The sequence below is a fragment of the Homo sapiens genome, chromosome 5 (genome assembly GCF_000001405.40).
Source record: "Homo sapiens chromosome 5, GRCh38.p14 Primary Assembly".
NCBI classification, from domain to species: Eukaryota; Metazoa; Chordata; class Mammalia; order Primates; family Hominidae; genus Homo; species Homo sapiens.
This window is the reverse complement of record NC_000005.10, coordinates 138,780,465-138,807,239: the sequence shown is the minus strand read 5'-3', so window position 1 is coordinate 138,807,239 and position 26,775 is coordinate 138,780,465. Positions and strand designations below refer to the sequence as shown.

General features: G+C 39.3%; 1 protein-coding gene across 9 annotated transcripts in view, besides 1 other annotated feature; it reads right to left on the bottom strand.

The window, feature by feature from the left end:
- The window catches only part of CTNNA1 (catenin alpha 1), a 181,610-nt gene that overhangs the window by 127,795 nt on the left and 27,040 nt on the right, over nucleotides 1-26,775 (bottom strand). For 7 of the 9 annotated variants that reach the window (NM_001323982.2, NM_001323984.2, NM_001290307.3 and 4 more), the window contains 2 exons: nucleotides 25,211-25,317; nucleotides 23,868-24,063 (listed from right to left, as the gene is read on the bottom strand). In NM_001323982.2, coding sequence (NP_001310911.1) covers nucleotides 23,868-24,063; nucleotides 25,211-25,315 — 301 coding nt within the window. In that variant the 5' untranslated portion in view covers nucleotides 25,316-25,317. The remainder of the gene's footprint in view (nucleotides 1-23,867; nucleotides 24,064-25,210; nucleotides 25,318-26,775) is intronic. The other 2 variants (NM_001290310.3, NM_001290309.3) reach the window with 2 other exon arrangements.
- Nucleotides 17,149-17,318: an enhancer, noted in NCBI's record as "active region_23216". NCBI's record gives its function as "activates an Ori minimal core promoter by ATAC-STARR-seq in GM12878 lymphoblastoid cells {active_cell/tissue: GM12878}" and the evidence as "EXISTENCE:reporter gene assay evidence [ECO:0000049][PMID:35858748]".

Sequence of the window (26,775 nt, the reverse complement as noted above, 5' to 3'; positions counted from 1 at the left end):
GGTCAGGAGTTCAAGACCCATCTGGCCAATATGGTGAAACCCCATCTCTACTAAAAATGCAAACAGCCAGACATGGTGGCAGGTGCCTGTAATCCCAGTTACTCGGGAGGCTGAGGCAGGAAAATCACTTGAACCCAGGAGGCGGAGGTTACAGTGAGCCGAGATTGCGCCACTGCACTCCAGCCTGGGCAACAAAGCGAGAGTCTGTCTCAAAAAAAAAAAAAAAAAAAAGTCCAACATCTACTCTATGGCACTACACATATTTTTAAAATTCTGTCACCCACCTAGAGAGTAAGTGGTATTAGCCTTTGCTTACAAATAATGCAACTAAAGCTTATACAGATTAACTAACTAAATCCCTGCCACCTAACTAGTAAATGGCAGAGTCAGGATTTGTAATGCCAGTATTTATGCTCTTTGTAGAACCACTTATCATGCTGAGGTATACAATAAGGCTTGTATATTATATATTAATATATAATTCATATATTAATTAGGCTTAGAGGCATAATATCTAGTCTGAATTATCTAGTCTAACTGAGGAGTAAGGGATATGCTTAGAAGAAGCAGAAGATGGGAGTAGAAAGGCCAGAGACAAACAGAATTCAATTCCCTCAACCAGAGTGAAGTCAAAGTAAAGAGGATTAACCTATCTAAAGTACATACAATAAACCTAACCAGAGAGATGGATCAGAAAGCTACAGTGAGAGCCCAGAAGAGAGTAGTAGTAAATTACAAAGGCAGGGGTCAAAAGATCTGATCACCTTTGATTAAGCACAGTACATTATTTAAAGGTTGCAAGCTAGGGCCTTTCTGAGCGGGAGAAGAAAGCCAGAGATGTATGAAAACACATGAGTTGGGAAAGATTTAGAAAAAAAAAAAAGTTAGGACCCTCGAGACTGTGGACAGCAGAGTAAGGAGAGGAAGATTCTGCAATAAAAGAAACAATGAAGAGAACCAAGACTGTCAAAAACAAGAAGGCCAGACTTGTAAGAGAAAACTGGTCAACCAAAACAAATGTAAACATAGAGATCAATCAACTTTGAGAATCCAGAAATATATTCTGATTTTAACAAGAGTGCCGAGAATATTCAATGAAGAATGGTCTTGTCCACAAATGGTGCTAGGACAAGTGCAATATGCAAAAGAATTAAGTTGGACCCCTATCTCACACCATATACTTACAAAATTTATCAAAACCTAAATGTTAGAGCTAAAATTATAAAACACTTAGAAGATAACACTGGTGTAAGTCTTCATGACCTCTGATTCACAATGGTTTCTTAGCTATGACACCAAAAGTACAAACAACAGAACAAAAAACAGGTAAGTTTGACATCATCAAAAAAATTTAAAATTTTGTGCTTCAAAGAACACTACCAAGAAAGTAAAAAGACAATCCACAAATGAAAGGAAATTTCTGCAAATTATAAGGATCTAGTATCCAGAATATATAAAGAACTCTTATACTAAATAATTTTTTTTTTTAAGTTGGCTGCAGTGGCATGTGTCTGCAGTCCTAGCTACTTGAGAGGCTGAGGCAGGAGGACTGCTTGAGCCCAGAAGTTAGCATCTAGCCTGGGCAACATAGCAAGACCTGGCTTCTTTAAAAACAAACAAACAAACAAAAATAGACCAATAATCCAACTTAAAATAGGCAAAGGATTTAAACAGGTGCCTGTCTGAAGATTTAGAAATGGCCAACAAGCACATGAAAAGATGCTCAACCTCACTAGCCATCAGGTAATACAAATCAAAACCACACAAAGATATCACTTTGTACTTAGTTAGGATGGCTATAATAAAAAAGGCAGATAATAGCAAATGGCAAGAATATGAGGAAATTAGAACTCTCATACCCCAATGCTGGGAATGTAAAAAGGTGCAGCTACTTTGGAAGACAGTCTGGCAGTTCCTCAAAGGGTTAAATGTTATCATATGACTCAGTAATTCCACTGCTAGGTGGATATGGTTTGGATCTGTGTCCTTGCCCACATCCCATGTCAAACTGTAATTCTCAATGTTGGAGGTGGGGCCTGGTGGGAGATGAGTGGATCATAAGAGTGGTTTCTCATGAATGGGTTAGTACCAACCTCTTGGTGCTGTTCTTGTGATGGTGAATGAGTTCTCATGAGATCTGGCTGTTTAAAGGTGTGTGACACCTCTCCCACCCCCTCTCTTGCTCCTCCCCACCATGTTAGATGCCTAGCTCCCCATTTCCCTTCCACCATGATTGGAAGCTTCCTGAGGCCACCCCAGAAGGAGAAGACACTATGCTTTCTGTACAGCCTCCAGAACCTTGAGCCAATTAAACCTCTTTTCTTTATAAATTACCCAGTTTCAGGTATTTCTTTATAGCTATGTGAGAACGGACTAATATAAGCTGGTGCAAAAGTAATTGCAGTTTTCATCACCTTTTTTTTAAATGGCCAAAACCATAACTACTTTTGCACCAACCTAATACATAGCTACACAACTAAAAACCTGTACATGAATACTTAGTGTCACTATTCATAACAGCTGAAAAAGCAGAAAGAACCCAAACATCTACCAACTGAAAAACAGACATACAAAATGTGGCATTATCCAGTATTTAGCCGTAAGAAAAAATGAAGTGCTGATACATGTGCAACATGGATGAACTTTCAAAACATATGTTAAGTGAAAGAATACTGTATTGTTCCCTTTATATGAAATCGCCATTTGCCACAACAGGCAAATCCATAGAGACAGAAGGTAATGCTTGCTGGGCAGTGGGAAGCAGGTAAGAATGAGGACTAACTTCCAACAGGTAAAACTAGGTTTCTTTCTAGGATGATGAAAACATCTGAAACTACACAGTGGTGATGGCTGCACAACCTAATAATATACTAAAAACCACTGAATTGTGCACTTTAAAATGATGAATTTTATGTATGTTGAGTTATAGCTCAAAAAACACAAAGGAAAAAAAACCAGTATTGAATGCAGTAACATGAAAGAGCACAGGCTCTGGAGCTGGATATAGGCCTAAGTTTTGGCTTTGCCACTTGCCAGCTATGCAACTAGACTTTATGATTCTGTTTCCTCCTCTGCACGATGTGTAGAATACCTGCTGTGAGTGTCAATTAAGATACCTTGTAAAATGCCTAGTTCAGTGCCTTGCAGCAAGCACTAGGAGACAAAATAGGGTTGGTAGAAATGATTAATTCTAGGTAAAACAAGATCAGAAGACAGAGAAAAGGTCTTCATTGTGTTTCATCAGTATTCACCTATTCAACAGCAATCTTCAAGAGCATTCATGCCTCTTTCAAAACATGCTTACTGATCACCTTCTATCAGCCAGGCACTATTCTAAATGCTCCAGGAAATTAACCAACCAGGCCAGGAAAAAATCCCGGGCTCCAGGGAACTTACATTCTAGTGGGAGAGAAAGACAATAAACAATAGTACTGGAGTAGGGTCGGGGGCAGTGACAGAAAGGAGGACAGAGAGAAAAGGGATGTAAGATACAATTTAAAATAGGGGGATCAAGGTAGGCCTCCTTGAAAAAATACCATTTGATTTGAAGACAGTCTTGACAAAGGAATCACAGGAATAATGTGGCTATCTGGAGGAAGAGCATTCCAGGTAGAGGGAACACCAAGTCAAAGATCTAAAAAGATTATGGAAGGCCAAGGAAGCCAATGTGGCTAGCACAAGACAACGAAGAAGACAAGTGGCTTTCTGGGAGTTGCACACACCAGATTTCAAGGGTAATAAAGTAAGTTATAAATAAGACTGCTCTTTCAAGAATTTGGCCTGAGACCAGACACGGTGGCTCACATCTGTGATCTCAGCACTTTGAAAAGTCCAGGCAGGAGGACCACTTGAGACAAGGAGTTCAAGACCAGCCTACGTAACATTGTGAGACCTCATCTCTACAAATAATAAAGAAAAATTAGCCAGGCATGGTGGCATTCACCTATAGTCTTAGCTACTTGGGAGGCTAAGATGGGATGATCGCTTGAGCCCAGGAAGCCAAGGTTGCAGTGAGCCACGATCATGCCACTGCACTCCAGCGCATGGGTGACAGACCCCATCTCCCAAAAAAAAAAAAAAATTTGGCCCATTACCAGGAGGAAAAGCAAGGGCTACTAAAGGAATTATTTTCTACTTTATTTTCAATTTTATGTAGCACCTATAATCCCAGCACTCTGGGAAGCTGAGGCAGGAGGATCACTTGAGCCCAGGGAGTTTGAGACCAGTTTGGGCAACATAGTGAGAACCTGTCTCTATTTAAAAAAAAAAAATTAATTAGCTAAGTGTGGCGGTGCATGCCTGTAATCCCAGCTACTCAGGAGGCTGAAGTGGGAGGATCACTTAAGCACACGAGGTCAAGGCTACAGTGAGCTGGGACTGCACCACTGCACTCCAGACCACTCCAGCGCAAGACCCTGTCTCAGAATATAAAAATCTTGTGTAGGGGTAACCAGTATAATAGAGAATAAGATCATAAACTCAGAAGTCAAAAAACAAAAACCACAGCTTCACCACTTAATAGTCTCAGGTTCCACAGTTGTAAAACAGAGATAACAATACTGATCATCTTCACTTTGCACAGTAGCACAGGACTGTAAAAATGACCATACAAGCTGAAACAGTGCAACCTGATCTTAATCAGAGATTAATCACAGAGAATTATGATTCTCCCGTAACCTTTAAAAATTTTTGGCAGTTTCCAACATCATATTTGGAGAAAAGAAAAAAATAAATTTTTAAAAAATAAGACCCCCCAAAATTTTGTCAGCCAGGCATGTGAGCTCACAACTGTAATCCCTGCACTTTGGGAGGTCAAGGTAGGAGAATCGATTGAGCCCAGGAGTTTCCTGAGATCACCCTGGCCAACAAAGTGAGACCCCATCTCTACAAAATAAAAATTAAAAATAAATACTTTTGTCTATGCATTAAAAATTCCTTTATTGTCTATTATAAATGTATAGGGATATGATATAGTCAACTAATATTTGCTTAATGTACTAAATTAAAACATTATAAACACTGAGACAAAATATTTTATTTCCTTGTGAAAAAAAATTTTCAAAAGTAGTTTGAACAATGCTTCCCTGCCTTCTTCTTGTCATTTACATTAGGGTGCAGAATGAGCATCTTTTTAATCCCTTGGCGAATCATCATATTTCTTTCTAAGTTTGGACCCATTTCCAACATTTTATCCAATATCTACGCTTATTTGTCATGAATATCTTCAAGAGTTCCTTTAATGTGTCGTTTTTAATGACATCACACATTCTCTTGGACATCACAACCACATTCCTCATTTAAGTCGAGAAGTTTGCCTTCACTAAGTAGTTCTAGCTGCATAGCTAGAGTTTTAAATAGCAGCAGGGTCAACATTTCCACAATCAGCTATTTCTTCCCTTTATATTCTAATCAAATTTCAATTCCAGGTCTATCACTTTTCATTTCTTTGTTGCACATTCATCTTTGTTGTGTTGAATAATCTTTCAATTATTCAATTCTGTCAAGTAGTTCATGTGGGTTTATCACTAGGAGAAAAGGAAGCAACACAACTACACACTTTGCATAAACTGAACAGATTTGCAGGGAACTATCACCAACAGACTTTGAAAGAAGTGACATGACTGGTCATGATGCACATCGGTTATTTATGCAGCTATTTGTACACTTAAAAGCTAGCAGCGAAGTTTGTACAGCCACCCTTGAACAACACAGTTTGGGTTTGAATTGCATGGGTTTATTTATACGTGGATTTTGTTCAATAAGCATATTGAAAATTGTTTCAGAGATTTGCAACAATTTGAAAAAAACTCATCATGTAATCCAGAAGTACCAAAAAATTAAGAGAAAGTTAGGTATATCATGAATGCATAAAATATCTGTAGATACTAGCCTATTTTATCATGTACTACCATAAATATACACAAACCTATCACAGAAAGTTAACCAATCAAAACTTATGCACACAAACACAGGCCGTACATGGTGCCATTCGCAGTCAAGGGAAATATAATCAAACATAAAATTAATTGTAGTACACACTGTACTACTGTAATAATTTTGTAGCCATCTCCTATTGCTATTGCAGTATGGTCAAGTATTGTGAATATCCACTTAAAATGCCATATGATGCATCTGCATGCGATGCTAATCATCTCCACCTGAGCAGTTCACAGCCAGTAAATTGCATGACAGTGAAAAGTGATCATTCGTAGTTCTCATTCATCATGTTTAGTACAACACTCAAAACATTGAGAAACACCATGAAGCTAATACAAAGTGCCACTAGTGATGCTGGAAGTACTACCAAGAGGTAAAGAAAAGTCATGACATTGTAAGAAAAAGCCGAACTGCCTGATACATACTGTGAATTGAAGTCTGCAGCTGTGGTTGCAGGCATGAGCCACCGTGCCCACCCTTCTGTTGCACTTTTTTTTTTTAGACGGAGTTTTGCTCTTGTTGCCCAGGCTGGAATGCAGTGGCGCGATCTCAGCTCACTGCAACCTCCGTCTCCCAGGTTCAAGTGATTCTCCTGCCTCAGCCTCCCGAATAGCTCGGATTACAGGCATGCGCCACCATGCCTGGCTAATTTTTCTATTCTTTTTTTTTCAATAGAGACAGGGTTTCTCCATGTTGGTCAGGCTGGTCTCGAACTCCTGACCTCAGGTGATCTGCCTGCCTTGGCCTCCCAAAGTGCTGGGATTACAGGTGTGAGCCACTGCACCTGGCCTTCTGCTGCACTTTTTAATGGCATTTGGGAACCCTTCTCTTGGTCAGCAGAAGCTGCTTCCCCTGTTATCTTGACATTTTTAAAGCCACATCTCTCTTAAAGTATCAAACCATCCCTTGCTGGCATTAAATTCTTCAACTCTAGATCTTTCACCTCCCTTTTGCTTTAAATTGTCATATAATGACTTTGCTTTTTCTCGAATCTTACTAGTCTATAGGTATGCCTTTCTTATAGCAGCCCTGCACCCACACAGAAGCTGCATTTTATCTTGTGTTGACAAGATAAAATTATTTTCATAAAAAGTGCAGGGGTTTTCATGCTTGCTGCTGTAGCAGCTACAGCTTCATGGATTTTCTTTTTTTACAGTGGTCTGCTGAATTCATTTATCAGGAGTTCAAAACCAGCCTGGCCAACATGGCAAAACCCCGTCTCTACTAAAAATACTAAATTTAGCTGGGTGTGGTGGCGAGCACTTGTAATCCCAGCTACTGGAGAGGCTGAGACACGAGAATCGATTGAACCCAGGAGGCAGAGGTTGCAGTGAGCCGAGATGGCACCACTGCACTCCAGACTGGGCGACAGAGCAAGACTCTGTCTCTAAATACACACATACACACACACATACATACATACATACATACATACATACATACATCTACATCTACTCTAATTTATTTTAGCTCACAGCCCTAATGACAAATCCTTAATTTCATGGCTAACATAAAGTATTAGTAATGAAAAAATACATCAGAAACACACTGTATAATGGGTTAAAATATTCACACTTTCTCCATCAGCAAAACTATAAACAAGTATATAAATAAGCCCCCAGCTAAAAATGAGGTCCTCAAACTTCTGAATGGTCATCCTTACAAAAAAAAAAAAAATGACACTAAGACTAACTTGAGATGTTTAATAAGTTTCATTTCAAAATTAAATGTAAAAAGAACCCATGCTCAAAACCTTGCTTAAAAAAATTGTAAAAAGGAATCAACAACTTTTTTTTCCTCCATCTCTCATGTCTCTTAAAAGAACTCTAAAAATAAAAAAAGATGGCCAGGTATGGTGGTCACGCCTGTAATCCCAGCACTTTGGAAGGCCGAGGTGGGTGGATCACCTGAAGTCAGGAGTTCGAGACCAGTCTGACCAACATGGCAAAACCCCATCTCTACTAAAAGTACAAAATTAGCCAGGCGTGGTGGCACATGCCTGTAATCCCACCTACTCAGGAGGCAGAGGCAGGAGAATTGCCTGAACCCGGAAGGCAGAGGTTGCAGTGAACCGAGGTCACGCCATTGCACTCCAGCCTGGGCAACAAGAGCGAAACTCTGTCTAAAAAAACAAAATGTGGCAGAAGGCTGGGCACGATGGCTCAGCACTTTGGGAGGCTGAGGGTAGGGGATTACTTGAGATCAGAGGTTCAAGACCAGAACTACTAAAAAATAATAATACAAAAATTAGCCAGGCACAGTGGCCTGGGTGACAGAGTAAGACTCCATCTCAAAAAAAATTTTTTTTAATAAAAAAAATTAAAAATTTAAAAAGATACCTGTTAGTTTAAATTTATAAGATATCAAAAGTGCTCTCTGCACACAAAAGGGCAAACTGGGGAAACTGAGGTAGACAGGAACTATATCCAAGATCGCACGGTTGTAAAACCTGACTTTGTCCCAGCTGTTTCCAGTCAACTACACTACATCTACTAACAAAGGAGATGAAACTTAAGAGAGCTCAATACTACTGTACCATCTGCCATGAAATAAAATCTGTCATCCCCTGATGTTCTCTCCTGAGCTGGGAATAAAATAAGTTCCTCTGGAGTTTAAAACAAAGACAATGGGCAATTATAAAGTAAACAAACAAACAAAAAAACCCACAATTCTTTATTAGGAGAAGACAAAATCAAGAAGTTTTTGAAGCATCAAATATCATGAGTAAATTCCCCTGAAAGCAACCAAACTTTATAAAGTTACGGGGAAAGGATAGGCTTGGAAAATATTTGGGTGATGGATAAAAAAAACAAAAGGCTTGTTTGTTTTAACCTGAACCTGTTACATTGCTCCTTTAAAACAAAGAATGCTATGAAGTAATGTTAATGAATATAACTACTTCTCTCCCAGAACACTACTTGGTGTAGATGAAATAAGGTATTGGAACTGGGTCTAAATCCAGCTTCGATATTTGGCAGCTGTGTTACTTTGGGTTGTTTTATCTCTAGCTGTTTTCTTTTCTGTAAAATGAGTACACATCTCCCATACCTTACTCAGTTGTTTTGAAAATTAAATGAAATAATATATGCAAAGCTCAACAAATACTTCTGTGCCCCCTTCTATTTTTCCATCTACTTTTTCCAGTTTTTAAACCTATTTAGAACATGTCATTATCCACACACCAGCTGTTTCTTACCTTTTTAGAAATAAAGTCATGATACCAAGTTTCCTAAAGGACAGAGGAAATGTTAGCTTTTAATTTTAAATGCTGAAGCTGTAAAGGATGAGGGGAGCTTCCTTCACTCCACTGTCTATAGTGCAGAAAGTAGTAATAATTGTTCCTTTTGTGCTAATAGCTACAACCAAAGCTTGCTGTGCCTTACGTTTTTCCAACTGCTTTTTTTAAATTTTTTTTTTAGCAGTTTTTTTGTTTTGTTTTGTTTCATTTTGTTTTAAAGAAGTTCTCAAGTCAAGCTGGGATTCCTTCCAGTTCTCAGGAACTGGTCATCTTCCTCATCTATCCCATTTACAGTGTCACATCCCAAAATTCTACAGTATACTACAAAAGAAAGGTTCCCAACCACAACGTAATGGCTCAGAAATCCAGCTATGGAAACATCTCTACTGCCTGTAAAAGTCCTCCAAAAACCTCAATAAATAGGGCAAAGTTATATCTCCTTCCCCAAAATAATACTAAGGATACTTTTAAATAGCTTCTTCACCAGAACCTTTCTACCTTTAAGGTCCAGAAAAAATATTTTTGCCAGCCCAGTAGAGAAACACAGCTTATCTTCGATAAATTATACAATCTGCCCCCACCCAGGTATCTTCATTAATGGAAATGATTTTCATTTCCACTTTAAATAGCAGATATATAACAATCTGTACTGCACAGTGAGAATGGAGATCACAATGTGTTTATGTCCTGGGAAAGGGATGGGATGGTAAACACTACAACCAACACATACCAAAATATCGACAGAGCTTAATCATAAGGTGGTACAGCCTGATGGGTGATTGTTTATTGTTTATTTTTACTTTCTATAGTGAATATACTTTTATATAAAAAAAGTTTTTAAATGATAAAAATGCCAATATCTTTAGTTTGTGTGTATGATAATAAAACTCAGGCTTCAAATTTTCTTTTTTCTGAAGTATAAAAATCCCATGGCTGCTAGTTCATGCAAAAATGAAAAAGTAAAACTTGCACATATTACAAAATCTTTCTGTAAAAGCTTATAAAGTCAGCTAACTAGAGGGGTTTTATCCAAAATAAGAGTAAGCCAAGTGGTAAAATAAATGGGTATCTGTAGCCCCAATCTCATTTTTAAAATTTTCTGTAGAGTTGCTGCAGGGAAGAAGATTCAATGGTTACACAGACCTTAGGTAGGCATTTCTTAAACAGAACATTTTACAGGAGCATATTGTTTGTTATCAACTGCCAAATCCAAAAGAGAAAAGAGATTTTAAAGACATCCACCTGAATATGCTTCTGCAAACCAGCAAAAACAGCCCTGCGCTAAAATGACAAAAGCTTCCAGGAGAAGAGTTAGACACCATCAACTATCTTAAACATGTTCAAATTACTCATTTCAGGATCAGTTTCATGAGCATACTTGGAATTCCAACTCTCCCTTCTCCCACTGATTTCCCAGATAACCTTGCTCAAGTAACTTTGTTCTCTTTATCTCAAAATGATTTTAACTATCTAAAACCTTTTATTTCTTCTCAGATACCTACTACTTTTTTTTTTTTTTTTGAGACGGAGTCTCGCTCAGTCGCTCAGGCTGGAGTGCAGTGGCGCGATCTAGGCTCACTGCAAGCTCCACCTCCCGGGTTCACGCCATTCTCCTGCCTTAGCCTCCCCAGTAGCTGGGACTACAGGTGCCCGCCACCGCGCCTGGCTAATTTTTTGTATTTTTAGTAGAGATGGGGTTTCACCGTGGTCTCGATCTCCTGACCTCATTATCCGCCTGCCTTGGCCTCCCAAAGTGCTGGGATTACAGGCATGAGCCACCGCACCCAGCCGATACATACTTCTTAACAATAGGAGCCTTCAGTCTTTAAAGTAAAAAACTAGGATTGTAACTATTTATTAATACTATACTCCTTTGAAAATGTGAAAAGTGAATAAAACTCTTGACATAACAGTATTAAAGAGAAGTCTTTAGTTTGCTGGTATAAAATAATGTTCTTAAATCATATTACTCTCTAGAGGATAGTGTTCAGCCATTAAAAATTATGTTGTAGAAGAATACTTAATATTACAGAAAGATGTTCAGGATCCATTAAATGAAAAAAAGCAAATGACATAATCAAACCCAACATATCTCTACCCACGTGAGCATATTCACAGAAGACAAACTGGAAAGCATTTAGGACAAAAATGTTAACCATTAGTTTCATCTCTAGGATACAAAATTGTAAGTTTTCATTTTTTTTCTTTTTGCTCTTACTATCAAAACACATGTTCACTGCAGAAAATTAACGCTCATTTTAAAACCGTTTTTAATTCTACCCAGGGAGTAGAACTAGAGGAAGAAAAAAAAAAGAGAGAAAGTAACCAACATCACAGGCAAGCCTATAATAAAACTGCCCTGTACTTAACAGCTTGGCATCTTTTTACACAGTGTTTTACAGAGTAAAAAACATCCAGCCCTGGATTTAATGAATGCCCAAAACTTCCCTACCATGAGATTCCTAACTCTTGAAAGTTACTTTTTGGTGCTTTAGCTCCAAAACCTACTGATAAACCTACTTTATACCAAATTCTCTTAAATACATCTGATTTGATTAAGGGATCTCACCAACAAGTGATAGCTTTTTTCTTTTTTCTTTTTTTTTTCTGAGACAGAGTCTCGCTGTCGCCCAGGCTGGAGTGCCGTGGCACAATCTCGGCTCACTGCAATCTCCGCCTCCTGAGTTCAAGCAATTCTCCTGCCTCAGCCTCCAGAGTAGCTGGGATTACAGATGTGCGCCAACACGCCCAGCTAATTTTTATATTTTTAGTAGACGGGGTCTCACCATGTTGGTCAGGCTGGTCTCAAACCCCTGACCTCGTGATCCACCCACCTCGGCCTCCCAAAGTGCTGGGATTACAGGCATGAGCCACCATGACTGGCCAGCTCTTTTTTTTTTTTTTTTTTTTTTTGAGAGTCTCACTCCTTCACCTAGGGTGGTGGTGGTGTGCAGTGGCGCAACCTTGGCTTATTGCAAGCTTCACCTCCCGAGTTCAAGTGATTCTCCCACCTCAGCCACTTGAGTAGATGGGGCTACAGGTGAGTGCTACCACATCTGGCTAATTTTTGTATTTTCAGTAGAGACAGAGTTTCACCATGTTGGTCAGGCTGGTCTCGAACTCCTGACCTCAGGTGATCTACCTGCCTCAGCCTCCCAAAGTGCTGGAATTACAGGCGTGGGCCTGATAACTATTTTCATCTGTTATTCCACCAACTTTCATTTTACAACATAATAAAATAACAGGACCAAGACTTCACAAAATTATCTCCTAACTTCAAGATAATCCAAAGTTAATATATGTTTCCTACCCCATCCCATCTCCATGTCCCACCACTCCCACCCAGCCAAATTTTAATTCATTTTCTATGATCTGGTAATAAAATGTTTTCCACACTTGTCAATATAGATGCAAATTGGCAATACAGATGCAAAGAATAATAGACTTCATAACACAGCCCTTATAAGAAGGAACCAAATGGTAGTATATATTTGGCATAACCCACGTGCCCTATGACATGAGGATGATCCTGAATAACACACTTTAATCTTCTCAATCAAGCCTTCCATTTATCAAGGAGGGATATTTGGTAAAAACAGACCCCTAGATGATATCCCTGTAAGTACAGATAAACTGAGAATAACTCAAAGAATCCCTGACAGATGCCTTAAGAGAACTTTCTGGGATGCAGTTGTTTTTTTGTTTTTTTTTTAAATCCACACAACTGTTTATCTTTTGAAAGAAAAGAGGCCAGGCCCAGTGGCTCATGCCTGTAATCCCAGCACTTTGGGAGGCCAAGGCAGGCCGATCACCTGAGGTCAGGAGTTCAAGACCAGCCTGGCCAACATGCCAAAACCCTGTCTCTACTAAAAATACAAAATTAGCCAGGCATGGTGGCGGGTGCTGGCAATCCCAGCTACTTGGGAGGCTGAGGCAGGAGAATCACTTGAACCCGGGAGGCGGAGGTTGCAGTGAGCCGAGATTGCACCACTGCACTTCAGCCTGGGCGACAGAGCAAGACTCCGTCTTAAAAAAAAAAAAAAAAAAAAAAATCAACCCAGGAAATAAACATTTAATATGAAGTTATTTAAATACTATAAGCCCATCTGAATCAGAGCAAGCCTAGAAAACCTCTTAACTTCCCCCCCTTCCCCATCCCCTGAGGGTAAGGAAAGAAGCTTTGAAATTTCTTTTTCCAGTTGACAGACAGAATGGATTTAAAAAAAAGTTAAAATAAAGTAACACACATATTCATGTTCTCATTTTCCTTACTAATTCAAGTGTGCCCTGCTGCTATTCAGAAACACTCCAAAGAGAGGCACTTACTTCCTGATTACACATTCAAATAAATGCATAACATGCATTTCAACTTGGAATCACTTTCTTAAGAAATTAACTAGTAGAAATCATGTTACTGCAACATCATGGTTGAAGTCATGCCAAAACTAAAATTTTAATACCTAAAATAACTTCCTCAGCTACACTGACTGTACAAATATATTAAGGCAGTAATATTACCCACTGTAACTCATAAATATTATTATCCTGGTTAGTGTTATTTATTTTTGTGAGCTTAACAGGACAGACTTTTTAATAAAAGGGGAAAAAATGAACCACTTCAAAATGACATTAGAATGTAATAACTTCACTCTTCTTTCCTCAATTCCAAGCTGGCTACAGCAGAACACAAGTCTCTGCAAAGCAGCATATGCTCACACAAGGGTAGTGATCCAGAAGCAGACAGCATCCTTGAAACATCCCAAGTCAAAGAAAATATAGCCTCTGCCCTAAAGACTTATAGTTTAAGTCAGGCAGACAACTTTAAGACATAAAATTCCCAGATGACAACCAGCTAATGATTTTTCAGAATTTATATTTTGCTTTTCCTGCTCAAGTTAAATGAAGAACAAGAAAAAATGGATTAAATGGTGAGACTGAAGGAATGGGGTCAATAACAATTTTTAAATTAATTACAGTCTTCAGGAACATCTGAAAGGTATGAATTGGAGTGGGAGCACTTCTAACAAAAGACCAAGCCACAATGGGATCACATGAAAAGAGACATCCACAAAAATAAGAGGAGAAAACAGGATGAAAATTCTAAGACAACAAGGGGAAAAGGTAAGATAACAAATGAGAAGCCAGAACTCAAAGGAAGACTATGAGAAAAAAATCAGCTGATTTCTTGCTAGTTTTAATAAAGTTATTGTACTAATCTGAAAAGCTAATTAACTTAACTTTAATCTTTTTCAAAATGTTGAATGTTTCCCAGCTACTGCTCTTCCAGAGCATCATTAACACTTTTTGAAATCCATACTCAACATTCCAAAGTAGGAACACTTGTCATTTTTCTCTTGTGAAAAATTAAAGAGCCCATATGTGAGATCAAGCTCATGATCTCAACCCGATTAAAACCACACTAACCAGATCAGACAAATTAAAATGCAATCTCTCTCACACACACCCACACAATGCTCTTCAAAGCTATGTTTTAAGTCTTCACATCATGAACCCAGCAAACCCAGATTCCATTCTGCCTCCTGTCTACGTCTCAAACTCTACTTAAAACAGTCACTGATACGTGCTTTGTCCTAATCACAGCTGTCTTTTAACATCTATCTTCCAGGCTGCCTATAGTAGATGTGGGTACATCAGTCTGAAGCTGTCAACATCTGCACTGGACAGGAGACCAATTTTCGCCTCCTTCAATCTTGACTCTAGTCAGTTGCCAGGGAGAAAATCATGCCTCAAGAGCCTGACAGCTTGTGCTCAATAACCTTTTGTCAGGGATGAAATACATTATTTTTCTGAAAATTGCCTTGCCAAGATTCACAGTGAACTATGTATATATACACATACACATACATGTGTGTACACATTTTTTCTCCCTATATACAAATTATTCAAGCTGTACCAAGGAAGATGGCATCTATGTCCTTAGCTTCACTACACAGTTATACACAATTACTGAGATAAATAAAAGAATGTCTCTCCATTAACATCAATTAAGAACTCTCATTTTCCATCCTTTCTTTATAACAATGCCCTAAGAGACCCTCAGTTTTATATGACTGGGTAATTTCATGCTTTAAAGATTTAAAAAAAGCTGAGAATGAGTGCAGCACACCAACATAGTACACGTATACATATGTAACAAACCTGCATGCTGTGCACATGTACCCTAGAACTTAAAGTATAATAAAAAATAAAAATTTAAAAAAACAAGAACAGCTACAATGAACAGTAATTGCCTCTCTAAAAAAAAAAAAAAAAAAAAGCTGAGAAAACAAGTACCATTAGAGTATGCTCACAAATCAACTATAGGTACTAAGATTACCCAGATGCTTGCAAACTCACAGATGTTAACTATTGTGTTAGCAGACAATAAATACTCCTTTCTTGTTCTAAAACTAACAAGACCCTTTTTTTTTTTTTTTTTTTTTTTTTTTGAGACGGAGTCTTGCTCTGTCTCCAGACTGGAGCACAGCGGTGCAATCTCAGCTCACTGCAACCTCTGCCTTCCGGGCTCAAGCAATTCCCCTGCCTCAGCCTCCCAAGTAGCTGGGACTACAGGCACGTGCCACCACGCCTGGCTAATTTTTTGTATTTTAGTAGAGACGGGGTTTCACCATGTTGGCCAGGAGGGTCTTCATCTCCTGACCTCGTGATCTGCCCGCCTCGGCCTCCCAAAGTGCTGGGATTACAGACATGAGCCACCGCACCCGGCCGACATTTTTTACATAAAAGATGATTTATGTAATGATTGAGATTTAGTACTTAACAACACTGACTGCTTTCAGTAAGTTGAGATCTTCTACTCAAGGAAAATGCATTCGCAGTATCAAAGTTTGCCTGAAATGGAATGACCTGAAAGCCAAAACCTAAAAAGAAACGTTTCAAAGAAATCTTAAGACAAATCTGTCTAAACATAAATAGATATGAAAGGGGAAAAAACTGTAAGCCAAACATTAAGATGTCTGCTTTTTATTTATGGACAGGAATATTTAGTAAAAGAACTTACTCTATCTTCACCTTCTGGCCATCTGGGGGACAAAGGATGTATAGTTGTCACTATAAAATGTTTTTTCAGCACTGAAGAAGAGGCTGCAGTGAATTACCCAGAGGTTTTCACAGTGTTTGCCATGAGAATAACAACACATACATGAGAGGTGACTGGCTGTGGTTAGTGGTACGATAGTCACAAAATGAAGGTCAAACCAAATGGCAGGCAGTAAGTCACTAGACTTAGCTACAATCAATCCTTGCTCTGTTCAGCAGCACTCAATCACCTTTTCCCAGACTACCATAATCTTGTCCTACCATTAAAACCAAAATTGCAGACACACACAATCATTTCTTGATTTTCTACTCCAAGGTAATTTAACCTCTGCTATGCCATTAGATTAGTAAAGAGAAATCTAAAAGATCAGCATCTCCAGCCCAATGAGCCATGTCTCAATTTTTGAAAACTTGGTGGAATTCCAATTAAAAAGAAAAATAACAGGGCTTCAACAAATCAACAGAGAAAGGAGCACTAATGTTTACCAATACTTATCATTGCCATAGGAACTCACACAAATAACATGTTTCAGATGTATTAATAAACATTAATACGTGTGATTAATGAACACAAAATAAGGTTTGACATCCATTACAAGCAAATAATGCAAACATTTTAAAAGGCAGCATTTTACACCTGTAAGAACACAGGTTCTTAGCAGCACATGCTGCCTCAACACCACCCTAAATGCCTCAAGTCACAGGAAAATAAATTACTACAACTTTTCACATACCAGGTCCCTTAGTTTTACCTACTGAAAAGATCAGCTACTTGCACAGGCCCTGCTGGCAGTTAACATGCATGACAACTGGCCAATTCTCTCTTTCCATCAATTCTGTTATAGCAGTCCCTTCCTGCACAGCTCCATTTCACTCCCCACTACTATGGTCATCTCCAGACTCTAGGTCCTACCTCTGGGCTGTCTACCAGTCACTTTAACCCTTCCTGCACACAGCTAACACTAATCTCCCTGCAAAAACTCCACTTTTCCTCATATTCTGTATTGCCCAGATGGTGGAACTTCTTAAAACAGGAAGAAAATTCAAGAGACAAATTTCAGTTTCTAAGGGGAAAAAAAAGCTTTTAAAATAAACACAAACCAATACTGGAAAGAGCTCCCCCTTGAGGTAGTGAGTGAGTCCTGTGTCACTTGATACATTCAAGCATATGGGACCTGAACCATGTAATGCCACATGGCATTCCAAGCCACCCTCTAAATATGCTCCAAACTATATTAAACCTCTCCTGCAGCCGGGTGCGGTGGCTCACGCCTGTAATCCTAACACTTTAGGAGGCCGAGGTGGGTGAATCACGAGGTCAGGAGTTTGAGACCAGCCTGGCCAATATGGTAAAACCCCACCTCTACTAAAAATACAAAAATTAGCCAGGTGTGGTGGCACATGCCTGTAGTCCCAGCTACTCAGGAGGCTGAGGCAGGAGAATTGCTTGAACCCAGGAGGCGAAGGTTGCAGCGAGCCAAGATACCACCACTGCATTCCGGCCTGGACGACAGAGCAAGACTCCAACTCAAAAAACAAAACAAAACAAAAACCTCTCCTGCCAGCAGTGCTCAACATGACTAGCACCCACCTCCAGCCAGGGACCTCACTGTTTCTCATGCCCATCTTGCACAGTCTATTTTTCTTACCTGGATGAGTTTCCTCCTGCTCCCTTTTTCTACCTTTCAAGATCCAGTGCAAGCTCAAATACCTTTAGTTAACTTTCCCAATCCCATGCTTATCCTCCCATTCCTCTGCCACTCATGCTATTAATTATTTTTCGTATTCATGTATCATTATAAGCTCTGGGGGGGGGGAAAAACAGGAAAAACAGCCTCCTATGTGCTAGAATACCATCTCCCCCTCAGGGACCACACACTATCAACCAGCCCATTCCTCACTCATATTTCCCTGACACAAGCTTCTTCCTAGGAAATCTACTGTTGCTCAGTGCACGAATAATCTATTTGGCCCCTTTACTGAGCAAATATGATTAGAAGCAGTGCAGGAATACAAAAAGGTGGATTTCAGTTTCTTTGGGTCTTCTCCCCCTTCACTGACCCAGAAATGCCCATGAGCTATAGGGAAGAAGCTACAGAAGTAGCAATAATACTGATCCTGGCCTTTGAGATCCAAGTATAAATTGTGGCTAATGGATTATAAAACACTGTTCTAGTAAGAAGCTGTTCCTCATCACTCCACTTCAAATTTAACATTAATGGGCCTCTGTTCATAATATCTCTCCTTTTTCAAAAAAGCTTCATTTAGGTCTTCTCATCTCTGTCCCCTGAAAGTCCCCTATCCGGCTTAAGAGGCTTCTTTTTCTGGTCAGAGCCCTATTCAAGGATTCATAAAATACATTTATGTACCACAAGGCAGCTGCTACTCTTTATCTACTGTTAAAATGTACATGTATGGGGAATGTCTGCTAATGAGTATGAGGTTTCTTTTGGGGGATGATAAAAATGTCCTGGAATTAGATCATGGTGATAGCTGTACAACTCTGAATACCCTAAAAAACACTGCATTGTATACTTTAAATGGGTGATTTTTATGGTATGTGAAATTATATCTCAATTTTTTAAAAAAAACATAAGATTCTCCACCCCTACCCATGCATTTACATTTGGCACTGGAAAGGAAAACACACTTTAAATTTCGAGAAAAAAGCATTTTCTCTTACTGTACTTCTCGGAGAATAATCAATTATCTTACTCAAACATTTAAGTGCCTATCACGGACCAGGTACTATCATAGATACAAACAGAATGGTCACCAGACCAGCACAGAACCTGCACTGCTGGAGCGTAGAGAGGAAAAGGCAACCAACTTAAATTACCACTGTGATAAGCGCTAAGACAAAAAAGAACAAAGGTAAGATTGATCTGATAAGGATGGGGGGATACGGGAGGTAAACAGGATCCTAAAATAAGAAAAGAGCACATCTAAGAGGCATATGTACACCTCTGCCTATATAAGGTAGCTACTCAAAAACGAAGCAGATTAGTAGTACAATTAAACTCTTAGATCACAGAGATTTGGAAGCCATGCAATTGGTGACTGGCTCCTATCCACCACATGTGGCTCACCTGACCATTTCATTAGCCTTGAAGTCAAATGATCCTGTTTTTATGTACGTGAATTTTTTTAACATCACTTACAGCATTATGGTGAAATTTTAGTATACTCACAAATGTGCATATTCATTATTTATGTAATCAGGGTCTAACACAAAAAGAAAGTTACACATCAAAAACTGTGTACATTCCAACTTTTGGTTATTATGATTGCACGGGAAGCAATGGACATGTACAAACCCAAAGATACAGAAGGTCTAATTTTTGGCTCAAAAGTATAATAAATAAACACATAAATAACTACCTTTTTGAAGACAGTAAGCTCATATCTTTAACAGCCTGGGAAAACCCTATATCAGGGTTAGCAAACTATAGCCTGTAATTTTTCTAAATGTTATTAGAACACAGCCATCCCCCATGACCATTTCTTTATATCTTGTCTATAGCTGCTTCCCAAATCAACAGCAGAGCTGAATATTAATAGTTTCAACAGAGACCTTTTTTTTTTTTGGAGACGGAGTCTCGCTCTGTCACCCAGGCTGGAGTGCAGTGGCACGGTCTCGGCTCACTGCCAGCTCCGCCTCCCAGGTTCACGCCATTCTCCTGCCTCAGCTGGGTATACAGGTGCCCACCAACACGCCCGGCTAATTTTTTGTATTTTTAGTAGAGACGGGGTTTCACCGTGTTAGCCAGGATAGTTTTCATCTCCTGACCTCGTGATCCGCCCAACTGGGCCTCCCAAAGTGCTGGGATTACAGGCGTGAGCCATCGCACCCAGCCCAGAGCCCTTATGATCAGAAAAGCCAAAAATACTTATTACCTGGCCTTCTAGAAGAAATTTACCAACCCCCATCCTAAACAACGTCAACAGTGATTCAGAACAAAGACATCTTAAAAATCCTTTAAAAATTAAGTGTTTCAGTGGATGGCATATTTTTATTTATCAGAAAAATTCAGAAAAGTTAGGTCAGGGTTTTACGTAAATGCTCAGGACCACTGAAGCCAGGGCAGGGAAAAGTGTTTGTATAAATTTTCTTTTGCTGCCTAAGAAATTCCAAGAGGTGGCAGCTTAAAACAATTATTAACTCCCAGAGTTTTCTATGGGTCAGGGATTTGGGGTTGGTCAGGACTGATGTTGTCTGAAACTTGACTGGAGGTGGAGGATCTGCTTCCTAGGTGGTTCACTCACATGCTTGACAAATGTGTGCTGACTGATGGTTGGAGACTTCAGTTCTTCTCCACAGGACCTCCTGAGTGCACTCAAGACATAGCAGCCAGCTTCCCCCAGACAGAATAATCCATGAGAAAAAGTGGAGTGGATACGGCCCCATTTTTATAACTTTGCTCCCAAAGTAAATAGCACCACTTCTACCACATTCTAGTCATTGTAGGAATCACTAAGTTCAACCCATGTTCAAGGGTTAGGCTCTATTTTTTTTTAAGGGAGGGGTGTCCAAAGAATCTGCAGACCTATTAACACCACTACAGGGTTTCAAACGATGAGTAAATGGCTTCAACGACATAGCCAACAAGTCTCAGTTGATTAAGCAATCTGTGCTTCATATTTTTGTAATATGTATTTTGTTCTATTTATGATAGAAAAGAGATCTTATCACCATTTGTTAAGATTCTCCAAAGAAAAAAGTAAGCCAAGAGAAAAAAGTAAGGCATTTCAGCTTTTCATATCTGATGCAATAATGATGATGGGAGGAAGTTATATTTTGGTTTTGGCTCTTTTTTTCCAAAGAGAAGGCAAATTATGGTGGACAGGTCATGATAATAAATAATTGCAAAAGTGGACTAGGACAGAAAAGTCCTTATGATTCAGAACCACATAAAAGATTATCATATACAAACAAAAATAACAAAAGCAATTCAGATATGCATTCAAAATTGTGGGGGGTTTGGGGAGCAGGGAATGTATATTATACCATGATTGCTACATATTTGCACTGGAGAAACTTCTGAAATAAGAAACATATAAAGTCAAATTAAAATTACCTACAACAATTAAATGCATTTTAAAAATAAATGTGGCCAGGCGCACTGGCTCATGCCTGTAATCCCAGCACTTCGGGAGGCCAAGGCGAGCAGATCACTTGAGGTCAGGAGTTCGAGACGAGCCTGCCAACAAGGCAATACTATACTATACTATACTACACTACACTACACTACACTATACTATACTAAAAATACAAAAATTAGCTGGGTGTGGTGGCATATGCCTGTAATCCCAGCTACTTGGGAAGCTGAGGCAGAAGAATCGCTTGAACCCAGGAGGTGGAGGTTGCGGTGAGCCAAGATCGCACCACTGCATCCCAGCCTGGGAGACAGAGCAAGACTCCAACTCAAAAAAAGAAAGAAAAGAAAAGAAACGTCAGTCACTAGAGCCAGCAAACACTGCCCAAACTCATCTGTTAATATGATTGTGAGTTTCGTTATAGAAGACAAGAAGGGCTGGGGAGGAGAATGTACCACAGAATACAATTAAGTAATAGCCTGATTTCCTCAACAGCAAGCTCAAAAACTGTCCTGAACTGGACCATTAAACTACTTTAAAATAAATTAGGCCGGGCGCGATGGCTCACGCCTGTAATCCCAGCACTTTGGGAGGCCGAGGCGGGCGGATCACGAGGTCAGGAGATCGAGACCATCCCGGCTAAAACAGTGAAACCCCGTCTCTACTAAAAATACAAAAAATTAGCCGGGCGTAGTGGCGGGCGCCTGTAGTCCCAGCTACTTGGGAGGCTGAGGCAGGAGAATGGCGTGAACCCGGGAGGCGGAGCTTGAAGTGAGCCGAGATCCCGCCACTGCACTCCAGCCTGGGCGACAGAGCGAGACTCCGTCTCAAAAAAAAAAAAAAATTAATTAATTAATTCAAAACTCACTGTACTGGGTTGAATAGCATTGCCCAAAAATTCATGTCCACCTGGAACCTGTGAATGCAACTTTATTTGGAAACAGGGTCTTTGCAGATGATATCAAGTTACGATGAGGTTATACTGGATTAAGGTGGGCCCTAATTCAATGGTTGATGTCCTTATAAGAAGAGGGAAACTTGGACACAGAGACACAAAAAAAGAAAAGTATATGATAACAAAGGCAGAGACTGGAGTAACATGTCTGCAAGCCAAGGAATGCTAAGAATTGCTGGCAACCACCAGAAGCTAGGAAAGAGGCATCCACAGATTCTTCCTAAGTCCCAACAAGGAATCAAGCCTGCCAACACCTTGATTTCAGATTTCTGGCCTTCAGAATGATGAGAGAATAAATTTCTATTATTCTAAGCCACCAAGCTTGTAATAATTTATGTTATAGAAGCCCTAGGAAACTAATATACCTGCCTAATTAGTACTGTGGAATTCTAATAATTTCATCATTTTCAGTATTAGAAATATTTATCTTCAGCCTGAAAACTGAAAAAATATTTACCATTGAAGGTTATTTGTTCACAAATTCAGAAAACAATTGGAGATGTTATCTCCATCTAAGGCACTGCCCATTTATGGGTACTGCCACAGGGATGAATTTGACATAAGACTCTGGACTATGCAATCTACCATCAGGCACGAAAGATCTATGAAGTTCTCCCAAGGGTTAGTAAAGCACCTGTAAATAGCAGGGCTCGATTTACCTTAGCTGATATCCAATAACCTAAAAAACCTACATCATTGTTGAAATTCTCCGACTGGAAAAGAAACCTAACACACAACTACAGGTTTCAAGGCCGGGCACTGTGGCTCATGCCTGCAATCCCAGCACTCTGGCAGGCCGAGGCAGGCGGATTGTTTGAGCTTGGGAGTTTGAGACCAGCCTGGGCAACTAGTGAAACCCCATCTCTACTAAAAATAAAAACTGCAGGTTTCAAGAAGTTTATCTTCCGTATTTAAAGTCTTCCTTCCACATTTGTAACATAATAAGGACAATTTTTCTAGCATTAATTATTAGTAAACTGTGGATTACCATTTTACTTTTTATCAATTCTGAATTTCCCAAAACATGATTCCTTTATACCCAGATTTATGTCAAGCTCCAACCAGTTCAAATATGCATGGCTGATTTAACATACTATTCTGACACAATAGGACAATTTCTAGAGTATTTTCAGAGTAGGTAGATATTTTTCCATTTTATCACACCCATCTCTTCAGCATGAACTAAAAAGAAGTATTACACAGGATGAAAAGTAAACTTCGGTCCCATTTCTTTCCTATCAATTTGTGTTACAACATTTCTAAGACTTAACTATTACTTGAAATACCCAAGAGAAGTGGATTCAGATTCTCCAGATGTCCCTCTGCAAGCATCTCTCATGATTAAAATGAGCCAGTCCAACTTAATACATCTCCAATAACTAAGTTACTGAGCAACTGGCAAGCATAAGAATGAGAATTAAAATATGAGCCAGTCCAACTTAATACATCTCCAATAACTAAGTAAGTTACTGAGCAATTGGCAAGCATAAGAATGAGAATACTGACCACAAAAAAAATCTTCAAACACTGATTTTCTAGAAAGGCCTGCCTCTCTTTACCTAAAAAGCAGTAATGACCTACCTTGTTTTCGAACATCTTCTACAGCAGCCACAAGCTCCTCCTTGAGAAACTGGCTCTCCTTCGCAATTTTATCCCCCTTCTCCAAGAAATTCTCAGTTGCTTGTTCAACAGATGCAGCCAAAACATGGGCCTTCTTAGAACGACCTCTCTTCTTATTAGAGGGCCCTTTACTATTGGTGTTTACAAGGGTTGTAACCTAAAAGTTTCATTTTTAACATTAAACTGGAGTCAATTAAAATGACAAACTAATATCTTTAAAGACAGCAAGATTAAGTTATTCTTTTAAAAAATCACATGAGATTCCACTGAACATTAACATACAATTCCCCATATTTAAGATATACAGCAATGATGCTATATTTAATTTCCAAAATAATTCAGCTTTCTTAATGTGTACAGAGAATTATTTAACACATATTTTAATTTCTCAAATATGATCATTAGGTTTTTAGTTTGATTTTACAAATTAAAAAATGATTAGAGACAAGTTAGATGTCTCTACTATATGTCACCAAGATGTTCCAGAAAGAGGTTAACAATGAACTTAGCTTTATCTGGAGATCACACTGCCACTGTTTTCAAACTTTGCAAAACATTTTAAGATAATTTGCTTCTGAAGTCTTTTGACAGTTTATTCACACAAATCTCAGCAATTAGTAAAGGTCCCAATAAACGAATGATTGCCCAAAGAAGCCTACAGTGATGACGCTTTATGTCTTAGAACATTACCATCATTAATACACATAATACCAGATTATCTCTAGGTTAAAGATGATGAATATATGTTATAGTGTAAATTTGCCAAACAAGACTCATTTTCTCTCTCTCTCTCTGAATCTCTCACATACAAACAATAGACATACTATTGTAAAACACTAAAAGTACACAGCTAGTTGCTAACAGTTTATGAACTACCCTAACATTGTGACATTTGTAGCATACCAAACCTAAACCCTCAAGTTGAATTACCTGCTAATTAATCCCACACAATGAAAGGTGTGTTAAGCAGAGTGAGAGACCTTAACAATCAAGGATCCAGACTCCACCTTTCTTGGGTTTCCCCTCTGAAGAAAGGTGAAGTATCTGCAAAGCACAAACATTTGCAAAGTTGCACTACATACCATGGACCCGTTACTAGCAATAAGACTGAAGAAAACGACAGCAGCAGCGTTCTCAAGGGTTAACTAAACCCATGCATCAATATTCAAATCATCTAAGAACTGTCACCTAAACTCAAGTACTGGAATTAAGGCTTTGAACTAAATAACCTTGCTCTTATGGTTGTTACCCAGGCCTGTGCTATAGAACCATGTTACAATGTATTTGTGTTTTCAGATTCTTACCTGTGTAACAAGAGGCTCCAACAGTCTCTCAACTGCCAGAGTCCTGATCTCTAGACTTTTAGGATCCCACTTGAAGTTTATGTTGCCTGCATGGACAGCAGTCATTTCTAAATAAGAAACAAAAAGTCAGTCAGGCAAACATCAAACACAAACATGAAATATGTAACAAATCTTCTCCTACTTTGGGACTTTTGCATCAGGAAAGCTATATTCACTATAGATGAAAAAATTCTAACTAGCCTACACATGAAGACCCAGTAAACCTTACAACCTCTTAATATTTAATGATTTCAGGCTTACAAATAGGAGGGGTACTACAAGAGGGCATTCCCAAACACACAGAATGTTTCCCTTTGGGCTTCTCTAGCACCAAGACTTCCTACCTCAGTTCCTACTCACTTTATCTGCCCCACCTTTAGAAACAAGATGAAAAGCTAAAGTGAATGAAAGCTACTTTCTTTTTTTTTTTTTTTTTGAGACAGAGTCTTGCTCTTTCGCCCAGGCTGGAGGGCAGTGGTGGATCTCAGCTCACTGCAAGCTCCGCCTCCTGGGTTCACGCCATTCTCTGGCCTCAGCCTCCCAAGTGGCTGTGACTACAGGGGCCCGCCACCACGCCCGGCTAATTTTTTTGCATTTTTAGTAGAGACGGGGTTTCACCGTGTTAGCCAGGATATGATGGTCTCGATCTCCTGACCTCATGATCCACCTGCCTCGGCCTCCCAAAGTGCTGGGATTATAGGCGTGAGCCACCGCACCCGGCCAAAAGCTACTTTCAAAGACACTGCTTCAAAAACGAATACAGAAGATCCTGATTTTTCCTACTCCACAACATTCATGGTACAGTAGTATCTAAAAGGTATGCTTCACTTCATTTTTTGATGGATTCCTAGAGAAGGACTTGTCTTATTCTATTAAAACATAATGTTTAAATCAGCTGCCCTCTGCACCCACAGCTATTATCACTCATAGCCAGAAGAAATTTCAAATCACACTTAGTCAAATATCACTGTATCAGTGTCAAGAGAAACTTCTGTCAGACAGCGGCTTTAAGAATAGGGAGAAAACATCAACGAAAATAACAGTTAGTCTTTTCTTCTAAAAGTAGTGCCTTCAATTATTAAAGAAAAAAAGAAAAGAAAAGGCATGAAGCTGAGGTAAACACTAATATAAACTTTCTAGACAACAAACTGCTGGTAGACATTTAAAAGCTTAAAGGCTGGGCGTGGTGGCTCACTCCTGTAATCCCAGCACTTTGGGAAGCCAAGGCGGGCAGATCACCTGAGGTCGGGAGTTCGACACCAGCCTGACCAACAAGGATAAACCCTGTCTCTACTAAAAATACAAAATTAGCCAGGCTGGTGGTGCACGCCTGTAATCCCAGCTACTCGGGAGGCTGAGGCAGAAGAATCGCTTGAACCCGGGAGGCAGAGGCTGCAGTGAGCCGAGATTGTGCCATTGCACTCCAGCCTGGGCAACAAGAAAAAAACTCCATCTTAAAAAATAATAATAATAATAAAAATTAAAAAAATAAAATCTTGGCCAGGCGCAGTGGCTCACGCCTGTAA